The sequence below is a fragment of the Homo sapiens genome, chromosome 1, assembly GCF_000001405.40.
Source record: "Homo sapiens chromosome 1, GRCh38.p14 Primary Assembly".
Lineage (NCBI taxonomy): Eukaryota > Metazoa > Chordata > Mammalia > Primates > Hominidae > Homo > Homo sapiens.
In genome coordinates, this window is record NC_000001.11 from 29,486,514 (window position 1) to 29,503,627 (window position 17,114).

Below are 17,114 nucleotides of genomic sequence, written 5' to 3' on the forward strand. Positions count from 1 at the left end.
TGATGACCCCTTCACAACTGGGTGGAGTTCAATGCCTTCTCCCTGTGCAAAGTTGCATAGCCTGGACAGAGCTCAGGACAGAGCTCCTGACTCAACTGTGTAAACTTAGGTGTGTTACTGTATCTCTCAGCCCCAGTTTTCCCTATACAATGGGATAATGATATGTCTATGTGTATACGGTTATTGTGAGGAAAGATGCCACTATGTTTATTTTATAGGTATGAAAACTGAGGCTTGGGGAAGTCGTGTGAATTGCTGAAGGCCTCCCAAGGCAAACCAGGGAGTGGTCCATGGTATATCTGACTTCAAAGCCTATACTTTTAACTGCTTTGTGGTGCCACCTTCTTTACTGTCTGGAAGTCTGATATGGTTAGGCTTTGTGTCTCCTTCCAAACCTCATCTTGAATTGTAATCCCCATAATCCCCAGGTATTGAGGGAGGAACTTGGTGGGAGGTGATTGGATCATGGGGGCGGTTTCCCTCATGCTGTTCTCATGATAGTGAGTTCTCAAGAGAGCTTATGGTTTTGTAAGTGTTTGACAAGTTCCTCCTTCGCTCATGCTTCTCTCTCCTGCCACCATGTTTAGAAGGTCCTTGCTTCCCTTTCTGTCATGACTGTAAATTCCCTGAGGCCTTCCCAGCCATGTGGAACTGTGAGTCAGTTAAACTTCTTTCCTTTATAAATTACCTAGTCTTGGGCAGTATCTTTATAGCAGTGTGAGAACAGACTAATTCAAATCCTTCCTATTACCATAACTTGATCCCTCCAGCTGTGATCTCAGATAGGGTCTTCCTGTGTGGCACACAAGCGTGCCCATAGCACCTTTCAGAGCACTGAGAATTCCCCTAATGCACACATATACACACACAACACATACACAGAGAACACATGCCTCCTCCACACACATGCACACATGCACCATGCACACACCCTCTCACAGACACATACATACGCACACTCACATGATACACACATGTACATATGCATGTATACATGCAAATGTGACCCTCACACAGGCACACACATGCATGACACAAACGCACAAACACAGATGCCTGCACACACACACACACGCCCTGCTGTGCTCCTTCTGAGTGCCTCCGACCCACTCCACTGGGCCCCAGGCCCTTCCCCAAGACTCACAGGCGGGCATAGGTTCCTGAGCTTGTTTCTTTGTCAAGTATCCAGGCTCCAATGTAGCTCTGCAAGGAAGAAAAGTGATGGTCAACTTCTTGGCAGGAATAAAATGGGCAGGCTGGGGGCTTAGCCACAGTGAAGGCTGGGGTAGGGACCATTGTTCAAAACCAAGATGTGGGTAGAGGAAACTGATGGAAGAAGGTCAAAATTCAGAGAAAGTACAGAAGGAGGATCAGGTGATGATAACGGTCAAAATTCAGATAAATGTTAGGATAAGGTTCAAGGTCAAAATCCAGAAGGTAAGGTCAGGGTCAGTTAAGGATTAGAACAAGGGTTTATATTCTTAATGGAGACTGGAATGAGATTCAGGGTCAGAGTTGTGGTCAGTGTGGGATTAGATTGAGGGTCAGGGTCAAGGTAAAAAATGAATTAGGTTGATGATCAGAGTCAGGTTAAGGTCAGACCAGGGTCAGCGTCCACAGAAAGGAGGAGCCAGACGAGGCTTGTGCAGGGGTCCTGCTGGCCCGGGGCCAGCGTGCACCTCGTACTCCTGCTTGAAGCCGTAACCCTCGGCCGTCTTCATCTGGTTGATGTGCTGCAGAAGGTCTGCCACACGCACTGCAGGGTGCAGCTGCCCCATGTGGTGCGGGGAGCCCTTCTGGCCACAGGGATGCTTCAGGGAGTCCCTCAGGAGGCTGCTGGCCTCAGTGACCCCACCGCTGCGCTGGTCTCCCGCAGTCAGAGAAAGACAAAGGGGTTCCTGACACACATGCCCCAGCTTGGGGAGCCCGAGAGACTGAGGCGCTGTGGGGGTGGGGAGGCACAGCTAATGCCAAGGACAGCTGGGTTGTTGGCTGGAGCCAAGCAGCCTAGCCAGGCCCACCCTGTGTGGCCCTGGGCATGTCCCCTCCCTCCGAATCTTGGTTCCACCTGTAGAATGAGCCGGTCAGATCAGGTGGCCTCCGAGGGCCCTTGCGGCCCTGCTGGGCTATGATTCCATTTTCCCCTCACTCCACCCCGCGAGGCTTCACTGCACTACCTGCAGAAGGCAGCACTCCGCAGAGCCCATGACAGCCATTTCTTCTTCCCCCTCTTCCAGGGAACAACCTGGAACACTGGCAGCTCCCAGCAATTACCCCCATTCAAAGACAAGCAAATCAGAAATAAGCAGCTGCTGCCAACCCCTCTGCAGGTTAACGCGAGGCACCTGAATGGGAGCCTTTCTCCTGCACAGGCAGTTCCACTGTCAGCCCGTGTGGGGCCGTAACCACTGGCGGAGTCAGTCAAGAGGTGCAGAGTGGCCCCCACACCTGGGGAAACCACCCTCTCCCCAGCCCCCAGGACCACACTCTCCCCGGCTGTTCTGCTCAGCATTCTCAAGGACGTCCCACTCTGGTCCTGGAGATCAGGTCCTGGGACTGAAAGAACAGCCACACCTGCCTTGGGACATGCATGTGGGCAGTCATGTGACTCGCCTTGTTCTGTTTTTCTTCTCAAGGATCGCAGTCCTGAGTCTCTGGTTGCCCAATATCTGAAAACAGTCTTTCCATATATTCTATCTTGTTTTCCGGTTGCTCCTGGTGGGAGGGAAGTCCGCCACTGCTCTATCATGGCCAGAAGCTCCAGCAGAGGCTGGGAAAGTTGTGACTTAGCAATGCAGTGTTTCCCAAAGCGTGTTCCAGAGAACACTAGCTGAAAAAGATGACAAAGTGGTTCATTTACAAGTAAACAAGAAAAACAAATGTTCATTTTTAAGAATGAATTTGAAAAATTTTGGTTTAAACAAGATTAAACAGGTCTGATCGCTGCAGAACATCTCAGGCCTTCCAACACACTAATGCCTATGGTGAACATCCATGAAGAGAATGAAAAGGACGACGTTCCCCAAATTTCTTTCATCATGGAGATCATTTTTTGTTTGTTTCACAAAACATCTTTAGGGAAAGAGTATGACATGGTGCTTAAGAGCAAGCGCTCTGGATGAAGACAAGTTTGGGCTGGGCGTGGTGGCACATGCCTGTAGTTCCAGCTACTTGGGAGGCTGAGATGGGAGGATCACTTGAGCCCAGGAGCTGGAGGCTACAGTGAGCTAGGATTGTGCCTGTGAATGCCCACTGCACTCCAGCCTAGGCAACATAGAGAGACCCATCTCTAAGAAAAAGAAAAAAAAAAAAAGACCTGTTTGAGTTCGAATCCCAGTTCTGCCACTTACTGGCTGTGTGTCCTTGGAAGGTTACTAGCCCTTTATAAGCCTCAGTTTTCCTAAATGCTAAGTGAGGATAAAGTTATTACTATCCAATAGAGGTATCGTGATTACTGAGAGCATTTACGAGATGATGCATGAAAAGTACCCAGTCCACTGTTGACACGTGGTGAATGCCCACAGATAGTAGCTGTTGTGTTGGGATTATTATTACTAGAATTGACCGTAAAGTTGGAAAGACTAATAATATTCTCTGTCATTCCGGACAGAGGAAAGCTGGAGCTGAGCAGAGTAGAGCATGATCTGTCTTTAATCTCCTTTAGTTTGAGAATTTGGCCCAGGACTTGGAAGGTGGCACTGGGAGATGATTCTGGGGAGACAGCTGCAGCCAGCGCACAAAACGTGTGCTTCTATTTCCAGACGGAAAATTTTCTCCTGCTCAAAGAACTCTTAGGAGTTCAGAAAGAGGGGATTGGGAGACAAAGAGTTTGTCATGCTCTTCATGGAAGCTGTGCAGAGAGCTCAGCAGAGAGCCCTCTAGGGGAAGGAGGAGGTGGGAGAGGGCTCCAGGAAGGGCTGGTGCCCTTGGGGGATCAGAAAGTGGCACAAGGTAAGCTCCCAGTGTCTGAGGATGAGCAAATAGTGCCACCTGGTCAGGATAATGTCAGGAGGATGGAGCCAAAGCCAGGCAGCTTCCTGGCTAAGTCCAAGGACAATACAAGAGGCTCTGCAAACGCAGCTGGCAGTGTAGGACAAGTGACACTGCTGCCCTTGGCCCCGGGTGCCCTGAGCCTGGGAGTATGGCCTTTCTCTGATCACACAGCAAGAAAGAGGTGGCCTCAGGATTCATGCCAAGCCCCGCCTGACACTGGGACCCCGTTCTCCCCCAGGCTCCCGTGTTTCCCCTGATAAAGGAGTATTTGCGTTGATGAAAGAAACCGGCACTTATTTGGCAAACCACTTGGATGGAATTCACTGGCACCCGCCAGGGTCAAGAGCTCAGGATGGATGGGGCTGGGGGATCTGGGGGTTTTCCAGACTGTGCTTTGGAGCCAGTGGGGACTGAATTCAAATAGCTTGTGAAATTCCCAGCAAGCTCCTCACACCAGCCTGCCACTGTTTGCCTGACATGACAATTTGATTTCTTTTAAAATAAGTACACTGTTTATTTATGATAGGTTTATATTTATAGAAAAGTTGCAAAGATAGTACAGAGTCAGTCCCCATATTCCCCCAAACCCGGTTTCCTCTATTATCCTCTTACCCAAGTGTGGTAAATTTGTCACAAATAATGAACCAGTAGGGATACCTTATGGATACTTTATTGTTAACTAAAGTCTGCACTTGATTCAGATTTCCTTAGTTGTAGCCTAATATTTCTTTTCTGTTCTAAAATCCCATGGAAGATATCACATTTACACTGAATCGTCTTGTCTCCTCTTGGCTGTGTCAGTTTCTCAGACTTTCCTTATTTTATTGAACTTGACAGTTTTGAGGATTACTGGTCAGATACTTTGCATAAATATTCCTCAGTTGGGATTTTAAAAAATTGAGATATACTTCACACACTGTAAAAGTCACCATGTTAACGTGTACAATTCAGTGGTTTTTATTTTTATGTATTTTATTTTATTTTTTTGAGACGGAGTCTCACTTTGTCACCCAGGCTGGAGTGCAATGGTACAATCTCGGCTCACTGCAACACCTGCCTCCCAGGTTCAAGGGATTCTCCTGCCTCAGGCTCCCGAGCAGCTGGGATTACAGGCATGCACTACCATGTGCCACTAATTTTTGTATTTTTAGTGGAGACGGGGTTTCACCATGTTGGCCAGGCTGGTCTCGACCTCCTGACCTCAGGTGATCCACCCAATTCTGCCTCCCAAAGTGCTGGGATTACAGGTGTGAGCCACCGTGCCCGGCCTATTCAGTGGTTTTTAGAATATTCACAAGGTTGTGCAACTGTCACCACTATCTAATTCCCAGAACAGCTTTATCACACTGGAAAGAAATCCAGTTCTCTTTAGCAGTCACTCCCCTTTCCCTCCCCCAGCTCCCCTAGACCCTGGCAACCATGAGTCTACTTTCTATTTCTGTGGATTTGCTTATCCTGGACGTTCATATGAAAAGGATCATACAATACATGGCCTTTGTGACTGGCTTCTTTCACTTAATGTAATGCTGAGTGAATTGTTGATTGGAGCAGGATCAAGGTCAAAAGTGAATTAGGTTGATGATCAGAGTCAGGTTAAGGTCAGACCAGGGTCAGAGTCCGCAGAAAGGAGGAGCCAGGTAAGACCCCTGCAGGGGTCCTGCTGGACTGGAGCCAATGTGCACCTCATACGCCTGCTTGAAGCTGTAGTCCTCGAGTCTTCAGCTGTCTTCATCTGGCTGATGTACTGCATGTATCCTTATTTCATTCATTTTTTTTTTTTTAATATTGCTCACCCCTGTAATCCCAGCACTTTGGGAGGCTGAGGCAGGCTGATGATGAGGTCAAGAGATTGAGACCATCCTGGCCAACATGGTGAAACCCTGTCTCTACTAAAAATACAAAACTTAGCTGGGTGTGGTGGCACACGCCTGTAGTCCCTGCTATTTGGGAGGCTGAGGCAGGAGAATCGCTTGAACCTGGGATGCGGAGGTTGCAGTGAGCTGAGATCATGCCACTACACTCCAGCCTGGTGACAGAGCGAGACTCCGTCTCAAAAAATTAAAAAAAAAATTAGGCCAGGCTCAGTGGCTCATGCTTGTAATCCTAGTACTTTGGGAGGCCGATGCAGACAAATCACCTGAAGTCAGGAGTTTGAGATCACCCTGGCCAATGTGGCGAAACCCCACCTCTAATAAAAATACAAAAATTAGCTGGTGTGGTGCATGCATGTAATTCCAGCTACTACGGTGGCTGAGACAGGAGAATCGCTTGAACCCAGGAGGTGGAGGTTGCAGTGAGCCGAGATTGCACCACTGCACTCCAGCCTGGGCAACAGAGCAAGACTCCATCTCAAAAAAAATTTATGGTAAAATACATATAACATAAAATTTATTATCTTAACCATTTTGAAGTATACGGTTCAGTAGTGTTAAGTGCATTCACATTGTTTTACAGCCAGTTTCCAGAACATTCTCATCTTGCAAAACTGAAACTCTATACCTATTAAATAACTCCCCATTTCCCCCTCCCTCCAGCCCCTGGCAACCACCATTCTACTTTCTGCTTCCATGAATTTGGCTACTCTAGATACTTCATATAAGTGGAATCATATAGTATTTGTCTTTTTGTGACTGGTTTATTTCATTTAGCATAATGTCCTCAGGGTTCCTTCATGTTGTAGCATGTCTCAGAATTTCCTTCATTTTTAAGGCTGAATAATATTCTATCATGTGTTAATATGGTTTGGCTCTGTGTCCCCACCCAAATCTCATGTTGAATTATAATTCCCAATGTTGGAGGTGGGGCCTGACGGGAGGTGATTGGATCATGGGGTAGTTTCTAACCGTTTAGCGCTATCCCCCTCGTGCTGTCTCGTGATTGAGTTCTCATGAGATCTGGTTGCTTAAAAGTGTGTAGCATCTTCCCCTTCACTCTCTTTCTTCCTCCTGCTCCAGCCATGTAGAATGTGCTGGCTTCCCCTTCGCCTTCTGCCATGATTGTAAGTTTCCTGAGGTTTCCCCAACCATGCTTTCTGTACAGCCTGTGGAACTGTGGGCCAATCAAACCTCTTTTCTTTATAATTACCCAGTCTCAAGTAGTTGTTTATAGCAATGTGAGAAAAGGCTAATACCTGTACGTATACCACATTTTGTTTATTCATTTACCTGTTGATGATCACTTGGGTTGCTTCCACCTCTTGGCTATTGTGAATAATGCTGGTATGAATATGGATGTACAAATATCTCTTTGAGACCCTGCCTTCAATTCTTTCAGATATATACCTATACATGGAATTCCTGGATCATATGGCAGTTCTATTTTTAATTATTTGAAGAACCACCGTACTGCTTTTCATAGCAGCTGCACTATTTTACATTCCCACCAACAGTGCATAAAGGTTCTAATTTCTCTGCAATGTAGTACTTGTCATTTTCTTAAAAAAAATTAAAAAATGATAGTAGCCATCCTAATGGATGTGAGGTCTTCATTAATTTTTATGGGTGAATAATATTGCAATTGTATGGATATACCACATTTGGTTTATTTATTCATCACTTGGCAGACATTTGAGCTGGTTTTTCTTTTAGACTAGTATGAATAATACTAATATGAACACTTGTGTACAAGTTTTTGTTTGAATATATGTTTTCAGTTCTCTTGGGTATATATGTATGAATGGAATTTCTGGGTCATGTGGTAACTCTATGTTTAACTTTTTGAGATGCTGTCAAACTTTACTAAAGTGGCTTTAATTATTTTATATTCCTATAGCAATATATAAGGATTTCCATTTATCCACATCTAATATTTGTTTTTTGTTAATATATTTGTTATTGTTTAATTATAACAATCCCAGTGGATGGGAGGTGATATTTTATTGTGGTTTTTGATTTGCATTTCCCCCGTGGCTAATGCTGAACATTTTTTCATGTGCTTATTGGCCACTTGCATATCTTCTTTGGAGAAATGTCTACACACATCCTTTGTCCATTTAAAAATCTGTCTTTTTTTGTTGTTTAGTTGTAAGAGTTCTTTATATATTCTGTGTACTAGGCCCTTGTCAGATATATGACTTACAAATATTCTCTCCCATTCTGTGGGTTGTCCTTTCACTTTCTTGAGAGTGTCCTTTGAATCACAAAAGCTTTTAATTGTGATGGAGTCAAATTTATCTATTTTTCTTTGGTCACTTGTGTTTTACATGTCTTACCTAAGAATCCATTGCCTAATCCAATGACACAAAGATTTACATTCATGTTTTCATCTAAGAATTCTATAGTTTTAGCTCTTACCTTTAAAACTTAGATCCATTTTGAGTTAGTTTTGTAGATGGTGTGAGGTAGGGGTCTGGATTCATTCTTTTGCCTCTGTTAGAATAGTTGTCCCAGTATCACTTGTTAAGCCTCAATTGGGGTTTGTCTGATTTTTTTCTTGTAATTATACTGGGGTTATATTTTTTAGGCAGGAAGACTACAGAGTCACCATTCTTACTATGTCACATTAAGACTATGTGATATTGACAAGACTTATCACTGATGATGTTAACCTTAATCATCTGGCTAAGGTCACGTTCATCAGGTTTCTCCACCATAAGGTTACTCTTTCTCTCTCTTCTCATACTGCACACTTTAGAAGGAAGTCATTATATGCAGCCACCCTTAAGAAGGAGTTAAGCTCTACCCATGTGAGTGCTGAGCATCTAACTAAATTATTTGGAATTCTGCATGGGAGGTTTGTCTCTTCTCCCATATTAACTTATTAGATAATTTATTTAAATCAGTATGAAGGCATGGATATTTATTTTATACTTTGGTTTATAATATGATATTACTTTATTTAGTTTTTGCTATTTTTTTCTGACTTTTGCCATTGGGAGATTTTTCAGTTGGCACCTGTATTCCTTTGACACTTTGTCATTATTGTGTGTGTATGTGTTAAGCACTTTCTACTTATTTTCTGGCACTACAAGATACTCCAGGCCCATTTTGTACAATTTCTAACCTAATCTTAGAATCAGCCAGATTTCTCCAAGGACCCCAGATTCCTTTTATTGGAAAATTGTATTAAAATACAAATCGGGGTGTGAAGTGTGTCTGATAAGTCCATTTTTAAAAACTTTCATATTGAGGAACTGTCAAAATAACATGGCTTTCAGACTTAGGCCAGAGGAGTTGGGTCTCTACATCTTGATGAAGAAAGGGTAGAGGGGTGTCTTAGGTAGTTTTCTGTTGCTATAACAGAATACCACAAACTTGGTGTTTCATAAAGAAAATAAAATTATTTCTCACAGTTCTGGAGGCTGGGAAGTCCAAGGCAAGGAGCTACATCTGGTGAGGGCCTCCTTGTTTGTCTCCTCTGCAGAGTCTTGAAGTGGTGCAGGGCATCACATGGTAAGGGGACTAGATCATGCCTGCTCAGACCTCTCTTCCTCTTCTTATAAAGCCACCAGTCCCATCATAGGGATTTCACCCTGATGAGCTTATCTTATCCTAATAACCTCTCAAAGACTACATCTTAACACTGTTACAATGGGGATTAAGGGTCAACATAGTTTTGGAGGGGGCATTCAAACCATAGCAAGGTGAAATTCTGGACCAGTCAGGGGTAAGAGGTGAAAGGAGATAGAAGATGCTGAGACTCCCTTCTAGTCTCTTGAACACGGCTTCCCAGCCACCCCTGCTTTGACCATGCTCTGCATGCTGAATCAGTTTCAATTGAATTATTTTTCTCTTCATTATTAGTCATATTTTTATGCTTCTTTGCATGTCTGGTAATTTTTGATTGGATGTTAGACATTGCAAATTTTTGTGGGAAGCCATATATTTTTGTATTCCTATAAGTATTCTTGAGCTTTGTCTGGCATATAGTTAAGTTACTTGGAAACAGTTTGATTATACTTGGTCTTGCTTTTAATATTTGTTAGGTGGAACCAGAGCAGTGCCCAAAAGAGGGCTAATTATTTCCCCACTCTTTTCATATCTTAGTATGAGTCTGTGTCTAAGTCCTCAATGATTTAAAAGCTCCTCCTGTACAAGATACCCCATGTGCCTTCTCTGTATTTCTAGTACAGTGTCAGTACCCAGAAGGGGCAGAATAGATGCTTCAATTTTGATTCATGGTGTTACAGAACTCACCCAATGTGGGGAGTGCCCCAGAGGGGCTTGATCCTTTTGGCTTGGGTCAGGAGCCCCAGAACAATAAGGAAGGGACAGGAGGGCCGGGTACTCACACTGGGAGCTATAGCCGTGAGTGTCTATGAAGGACAGGCCCAGCCACTCCTCCTCCTGCAGGGGGCTCTGGTCTGTGAAGCTCTGGTCCATGGTGCTCATCATGTGGGTCCTCTCCTGGCAGTAGTTGACAGTGGCCTTGGTCTCGTTCATCGGCTTCCTGCGGGGTGGGGGTCGGGGGTTGATGGGAGACATAGGTGCTGTGTGGGGCCGGACAGTGCTCAGAGGTGGGTGGAGAGGCCCCAAAGTCAAGGGTCTTGAGGCCTGGAGCCAGCAGCTGTCCTGGAAGCATCTCTGGATGCTGAAGGGCTCCGCCTCCAACCTTCACTCATCAAACCCAGAGAGCTGCTGCCTCCCCAAAATGGGGCTGGCAGGGTGCCTGTCCTGGGGACCTTTGCTGAGGGCAAGGCATGGAGCAGCAGTGACCTCAGGCTGGGATCCTGCTTCTAGGTCTCACTGGCCCCATGGGCTCAGAAAATGGGAAGGAAAGCCTCTCCAGGCCTACTTTGGTGTCACAGCAGACAATTCCTCTGCCTCCACTGCATCCCAAACTGGGAAGGTAGCTGGCCTGGCTCCAGCCACAGTGTGTCCCCACCTCCATCCCCTTCCCCGTCATCCATTCCAAAGACCTACAGTCAAGTTGATTTTCTCTAGCTGTGGGAATGGGCTGTGTGAAGCCATCCTCCCTCCTTCTTAGTGACCGAGGTCTGGCAATAGCCCGGTTGGTGGGGAGTTTCTTGTAGGCGGAGGCTGAGCTCCAACCTGGGCCTTTCAGTTCTGTGCGCATTTCTCCAAGAAGCCACCAGGCCTGGGCCCATCGCCAGCTACAAAGGATATGGAACAGAAATCCACCCAGGGTCCATCTTCCCGCCAGCCCCAATCAGCCCATCCAGCCCCCATCCCCAGTTAAGACCAAGTAGCAGGGGAAGAAGGTGAGAGGCCCCAGTCCCTCCACTGGAGGGACAGAGCTTCTGGAGTGGCTTCTAGGCAAGGGCCCTGCATGGCCCAGGCTTCCAGGCCCAGTTTCATGCATGAGGACAGCAGTTTGTGATCCTGGAAAAACTTGGAGGAAACTGGGAGGGAGAGAAGGAGGTGGAGAGGTAGGAGACAGCTCCATGATCAAGGGTCCAAGAAACAGGCACAGGGGAAACAACTTGGGACTCTTGTCAAGGCTGGAGATGAGCCCGAGCGGCCCAGTCACAGGGGAGGCTCCAGAGGAGAGAGCTGTTCACCTGTTCGGCCCTAGAGCATGCAGGATGCAGGGTAGACCTGAGAAAGGACTTCCAGGTTATGCGGGCTCAGGGACACTTACCATCCATGGGGACAGGGAGGCCAATGAAAGAATCTTCCTAGACAAACTTTAGCCAGCCTGTCCTGGGGCAAGGGAAGGACAGGATGACCTCTGGATGCCTCTCCTGCTAGGACCAGGTTGTCCTTCCTGCGATAAGGAGATGGCTCTGTGTCCCCACTGGGACCACTGCTGTTGGGCACTGAGGAGGGCACAGCCTTCCCAGCCTGGATGGGAGAGGGCTCGCCAGGCCCAGGCCTCTTACCTTTGGTCCCTGCCAGGCTCTGGGCATCGCCCTCACTGTGGCCCAGGGCGGAGCCAAAGCACCCTTTGGGGGCAGATGAGGAGCAGCCTCTGTGGCTGTGACCTTGACCACCTTGAGTGGGGAAAGGATCAGGGGCAGACAGAGAAGGAGAAGGGGAGGAGAAGAGAGAAAAGGACAATAACAAGGAGAGAGAGAGAGATGGGGAAGGGGACAGAGAGAGAGGGAGGGACAGGCCAGACACAAAAAGCTGTAGGGAGGACAGACAGGGCCATGGACAGAGGACAGCCAGCCAGGCTGTCTGAACATGGAGGCAAGAGAGGACCCGTCAGTGAGCAGATGCTGGCCTAGAGGGCGTTCTCCAGGGGTGTGCCACAGGTTCTGTTCCCAGCCCAGGACTCCTGGCCTACCTGGAAGAAGAGCTACAGAAACAAACCAACCCGATCCCCAGAAGATGGAACCTGGGAGGGACACCTAACGCTGTTGGCGTCGGGCTGAGCTCAATGCGAGATTAAGCAGATGGAATTTAATACAGGTTCTTTGAAAAGTTCTGCATCTGGTTTTGAAAACTAACCGCACAAGCAGCAGGGAGGGAGAGCTGCCTGTCCACAGCCCCTGCAGGAGCTGAGCTGGAGGCTCAGTGTGAGTCACTGGGTGTTGAGTTGCTGCAAAAGCTCATGTCGGGAAACAGCAAGGTAAGGAGCAGTCCAGGGAGGAGGAGGTGAGAGACCTGCCATCCTTGGGGGCTAGCCCAGTTCCATCTGGGCCTGCTCTGCGAAGTAGGGAAAACCAGCACTGATGTGGGAGGAATGTTCTGGAAGGCTTGCAGATTAGGAGAAGACAGAGACAGAAGACAGAGTAGCATCGGCAGGCTGTGGAGTCAGCAGGGGCCTGGGATGTGTCCCAGCTCTGGCACATTCTGCGACCTCCCACAAGTCCCTTGGCCTCTCTGAGCCTCAGTTTCCTCATCAGTAAAGTGGGAGTGATAAGAGCTCCTATTGTCAGGGCTGTCATGAGGATTCTGGGTCCAGAACTGAGCACAGGGCTTGGCCCAGAGGAGGTGCCCAGGAAGTGGTGGGTCTGCAGAGCTGGGGCTGCCTGGCTGGAGAAGGGGCTCATGGGGGATCTGAGAGTCGTCTGTGTTGTGAACAGAGCTGCCAGTGTCGGGACAGGTCCACCCTGCCCTCGTGCATGCAAGCACACACGTGCACACAGGCATGGACTCTAGAGTGGGACCTGTGTAAGGATGGTCCTGGATGTGGATTTGGTAGGTGGTGAGAACGTCCTTCGTTTTTCATTTTTTTTGAGACGGTCTTGCTGTGTTGCCCAGGATGGAGTGCAGTGGCCAGAACACAGCTCATTACAGCCTCAACCTTCTGAGCTCAGGTGATCCTCCCACCTCAGCCTCCTGAGTAGCTGGGACTACAGGCATGCACCATCACGCCTGGCTAATTTTTCTATTTTTTTGTATATACGGGGTTTTGCCATGTTACCCAGGCTGGTCTCAAACTCCTGGGCTCAAGCAATCTGCCTGCCTTGGCCTCCCAAAGTGCTGGGATTACAGGCTTGAGCCACTGTGCTCTGCAGGACGTCCTCCTGACCACAGGGAATGGTTCAAGGACATAAGGGACTGCCCCTGTGGTGGAAAGGACATTGAGACTGAGGGAGGAGAGGTGAGTTGCCCAGGGCTACTCAGCAGAGTCAGCTCCAGCACTGATGACCATGACTTGAGGAGGAAGAGGCAGAGGGGAGGGACAGAGCAGAGGAGAGAAAGTCAGAGGCTGAGGTGGCCATGGAGAACAGGGCAGACACCAGGCCAGGTGCAGCGAGCCCAAGCCCAGCCAGAGAGAGCGGGGGTGGGAGATCTCCCCCTAGGTGGGGCTGTGGACTCCCAGGCCAGGTGGAACTACTTACGGGTAGTAGGAGTAGGCATAGTGGTCTCTCCCAGCAGTGTGCAAAGAGAGAACAGCACAGTCGTGTCCGAGGTCCGTCCACCAAGGCCGGGCTGAGGCAATGCCCACGCAGGAGGGTGGGGCCTGGGTGCTTCCTGTGCTGGGGTGGGGGCTGACCGGGGACTGGACAGGTCAGAAAGACCTTCCTGATCTCCCAAGGACTAGCTGGGCTCAGACATTAAGGACCAGCACCCAAGGCCCTTCTGGAACCTTCTGCAAGCCTACTGTAGGAGTGAGGAGGAGGTGCGGGAAAGGGCCTGGGGGGTCACAGAGCTTCCACACAGAGTCATATACACATGTATACACAGAAATAAATACTTACATAAACAGACACACATGTAGATATACACTCAGATGCACTCATACACAGAAAAGCACACACTGACACACACTCATATGCACTGACAAATGCAGACACGCACAGGTGCAGACATGCATACACATGTATTCAAACACACTGACACACATGCAGACATACATTCACAAACACACACACACTTAACACCCCCCGACCCACACACTCACACTCGAGGGTAACTGTGCTCACCTAGGGCTGCTGTCACCCCTGCAGACAGCCTTCCGCTTTCCCTCCCTGCAGGCCTCTCTGCCCCTGAGAGGTCAGCCCTTTGCCTGCACCTCCACCTGGGTGGGGACAGAGAGTGGGCAGAGTGGAGATGACTCCACTTGGACACCCAGGATAAACCTCGGGCCTGCCCTCACCCACCCTGACTGCCCCTGGCTGTGGGATCCACTAAAGGAGCCATGCCATCCCTTCCAGGGGCTCCTGGAACACAACTTGGGTCAGAAGCCCTATGCTACCAGAAAGCACTGTCAATGAAAATAGTCAACCTCTGTAAAATATTTTTAAAGAGGTTTATTCTGAGCCAAATTTGAATGACCATGGCCTGAAGCACAGTCTGGAAAGGTCTTGAGAACATGTGCCCAAGGTGGTTGGGTTATACCTTGGTTTTATGTTTTAGGGAGACTTAAGACATCAATACATGTGAGGTATACATTGGTTCAGTCTGGAAAGGTGGGACAACTCAAAGGCGGGGAGGTCATAGGTGGATTCGCAGATTTTCTGATTTGCAATTGGGCAATTGGTTGAATGAGTTAAGTTATTATCTAAAGAACTGGAATCAATAGAAAGGAGTGTCTGGCTTAAGATAAGGAGTTGTGGAGACCAAGGTTCTTATTATGTAGATGAAGTCTCTTAGGTGGCCACCCTTAGAGGCAGTAGATGGCAAATGTTTTCTATTCAGACCTTTAAAAGGAGTTAGACTCGAAGCTAATCTCTTCGGGATCAGAAAAAGACCTGGAAAGGGAAAGGAATTCTCTACAGAATGTAAATTTCCCTCACAAGAGAAGCATTGCAGGGCCATTTAAAAATATGTCAAAGAAATATATTTTGGGGTAAAATATTTTGATTTCTTTCAGTGTCTGTTATCTGTCATGTGATGCTACACTAGAGTCCGTTTGGAATTCGATATTTTATTGCTACAAAGAGTCTGTTTTGTAAGCCTTAAGATCTCTATTTTAATGTTAATGCTGGCCAGCTGTGCTGAATTCCGAAGGGAGGTGGGAATAATGAGGCATGTCTGACCCTCCCGTTCCATCATGGCATTAACTAGTTTTTTAGGTTTCTTTGAAATCCCCTTGGCTGAGAGGAGGGTCCATTTAGTAGGTTGGGGGGCTTAGAATTTTATTTTACTTTATTTTTATTTTGAGACACAGTCTTGCTCTGTCACCCAGGCTGGAGAGCAGTGGCATGATCACAGATCACTGCAGCCTCCTGGCTCAAGCTGTCTTTCCACCTCAGCATCCCAAGTAACTGGGACTTCAAGTGTGCACCACTATGCTTAGAAAACTTCTTAATTTTTATTTTATTTTATTTTTTGAAACAGGGTCTCATTCTGTCACCCAGGCTGGAATGCAGTGGCGTAATCATGGCTTACTGCAGCCTTGACCTCCCAGGCTCAGGTGATCCTCCTGCCTCAGCCTCTTGAGTAGCTGGGACTACAGGTGTGTGTCAGCATGCCCAGCTAACTTTTTGTATTTTTTGTAGAGATGAGGTTTTGACATGTTGCCCAGGCTGGTCTCGAACTCCTAGGCTCAAGTGATCCCCTCCTTCAGCCTCCCAAAGTGCTGGGATTACTGATGTGGTTTATTTTTGGTTTACGTCACCCACAGTGTACAGCAAGCTGATTCCCATTTCGCAGATGGGGAAGCTGAGTCATGGGGAGTCATGGGCTGCCCCAGGCCTCTCTGGAGGTCAGTGGCAGAGGCCCTAGGCCTCTGGATGCCTGTCCCAAGACTCTGGCCCCTGAACCTCCTCTGTGCCCCCTCCTGAGGCCCTGCCTAGGCTTGTTTCAGGGTCCTTCATTCACTTGCCCCCCACATCATGCCATCAGCAGGAATTCCAGAGCATGGCCTTTCACAGGAAACTCTATAGATTGAGGGGATGAGAGTGGAAGACTGAGGCCAGCAAGGGCAGGAGATTGGCCCCAGGTCACTCAGCACATCTCCAACCCAGGGAGAGAAGGAGAGGATCCAGGGTGCTGGAGCTGGTGGCAGAGGTTTGGGTGGGGGTGGGGTGGATGAATGACATAGCATGATGTGGTGGGCTGGACAGATGTATGGAGATTTGGCAGACCTGAGTCAGTCCTAGCTCTGCCTTGAACAATATAGAAGTTATTTTTATAAAAGATAAACTCAGATCCTACTTTTCTTCCCTTGCCTAAAACCCTTCACTGGATTCCTGGCGCTCTTTGAATGCAGTCCACAGGCTTTCCTCTGGCTCGGGTGGCCCCAACATGGTCCAGCCCCTGTACCTCGCTGCTCCTCTCTGCTCCAGCCACACAGCACTTGTGTTTCCCCATCTTGGGGCCGTTGCACACGGAGTCGTCTATACCTGCATTTTCTCTCTCTTCTCTTTGTGCCTTCAGTCTCAGCAGAACCTTTCTTGATTCCCCCCTTCCACCCACCAAATGAATCTCCCTCTGTTGTCCTCACTTCTGGCCTCCTGCTCTTTTCCTTTCCAGCACTTACCTCAATTGGTAATCATCCATTCATCTGTGTTCTTTCTTGTTTAATACCGCTCTCCTCTCCAGCCTATGAGCTATGCAAGAGCAGAATGCCTGCCTGTTTTCCCAGCCCGGATCCTCGGTACCCAGGACAGTGCCTGGACCATTGTACAGACTCTATAAATATTTGTTGAGTTAGCTGATAAATGAATGAAAGAATTTTGCTCCTCTGAACCCAGCGTTTCCTCCTCTGAAAAACATGGCTATTTATTATTCTGCCCATCAGGGGCTGCTGTGAAACATGAATAATGGTAAGCATGCCCACAGCAGGTGCACTATGAACACTAGTTCATTCCCCCTCCTCCCTCT

The 17,114-nt window shown here is 47.9% G+C and overlaps 1 long non-coding RNA gene across 1 annotated transcript in view, besides 5 other annotated features; it reads left to right on the forward strand.

Annotated features, from left to right (window-relative positions):
* The window catches only part of LOC107984933 (uncharacterized), an 82,158-nt gene that overhangs the window by 43,570 nt on the left and 21,474 nt on the right, over positions 1 to 17,114 (forward strand). The window lies entirely within an intron of this gene.
* Positions 1,280 to 1,912: an enhancer, noted in NCBI's record as "H3K4me1 hESC enhancer chr1:29814305-29814937 (GRCh37/hg19 assembly coordinates)". NCBI's record gives its function as "activates a minimal SCP1, AML or CMV promoter by ChIP-STARR-seq in naive H9 embryonic stem cells {active_cell/tissue: H9 hESC(naive)}" and the evidence as "EXISTENCE:reporter gene assay evidence [ECO:0000049][PMID:30033119]".
* Positions 1,913 to 2,544: an enhancer, noted in NCBI's record as "H3K4me1 hESC enhancer chr1:29814938-29815569 (GRCh37/hg19 assembly coordinates)". NCBI's record gives its function as "activates a minimal SCP1, AML or CMV promoter by ChIP-STARR-seq in naive and primed H9 embryonic stem cells {active_cell/tissue: H9 hESC(naive and primed)}" and the evidence as "EXISTENCE:reporter gene assay evidence [ECO:0000049][PMID:30033119]".
* Positions 13,658 to 14,339: an enhancer, noted in NCBI's record as "H3K27ac-H3K4me1 hESC enhancer chr1:29826683-29827364 (GRCh37/hg19 assembly coordinates)". NCBI's record gives its function as "activates a minimal SCP1, AML or CMV promoter by ChIP-STARR-seq in primed H9 embryonic stem cells {active_cell/tissue: H9 hESC(primed)}" and the evidence as "EXISTENCE:reporter gene assay evidence [ECO:0000049][PMID:30033119]".
* Positions 14,340 to 15,021: an enhancer, noted in NCBI's record as "NANOG-H3K27ac-H3K4me1 hESC enhancer chr1:29827365-29828046 (GRCh37/hg19 assembly coordinates)". NCBI's record gives its function as "activates a minimal SCP1, AML or CMV promoter by ChIP-STARR-seq in primed H9 embryonic stem cells {active_cell/tissue: H9 hESC(primed)}" and the evidence as "EXISTENCE:reporter gene assay evidence [ECO:0000049][PMID:30033119]".
* Positions 15,022 to 15,703: an enhancer, noted in NCBI's record as "OCT4-NANOG-H3K27ac-H3K4me1 hESC enhancer chr1:29828047-29828728 (GRCh37/hg19 assembly coordinates)". NCBI's record gives its function as "activates a minimal SCP1, AML or CMV promoter by ChIP-STARR-seq in naive H9 embryonic stem cells {active_cell/tissue: H9 hESC(naive)}" and the evidence as "EXISTENCE:reporter gene assay evidence [ECO:0000049][PMID:30033119]".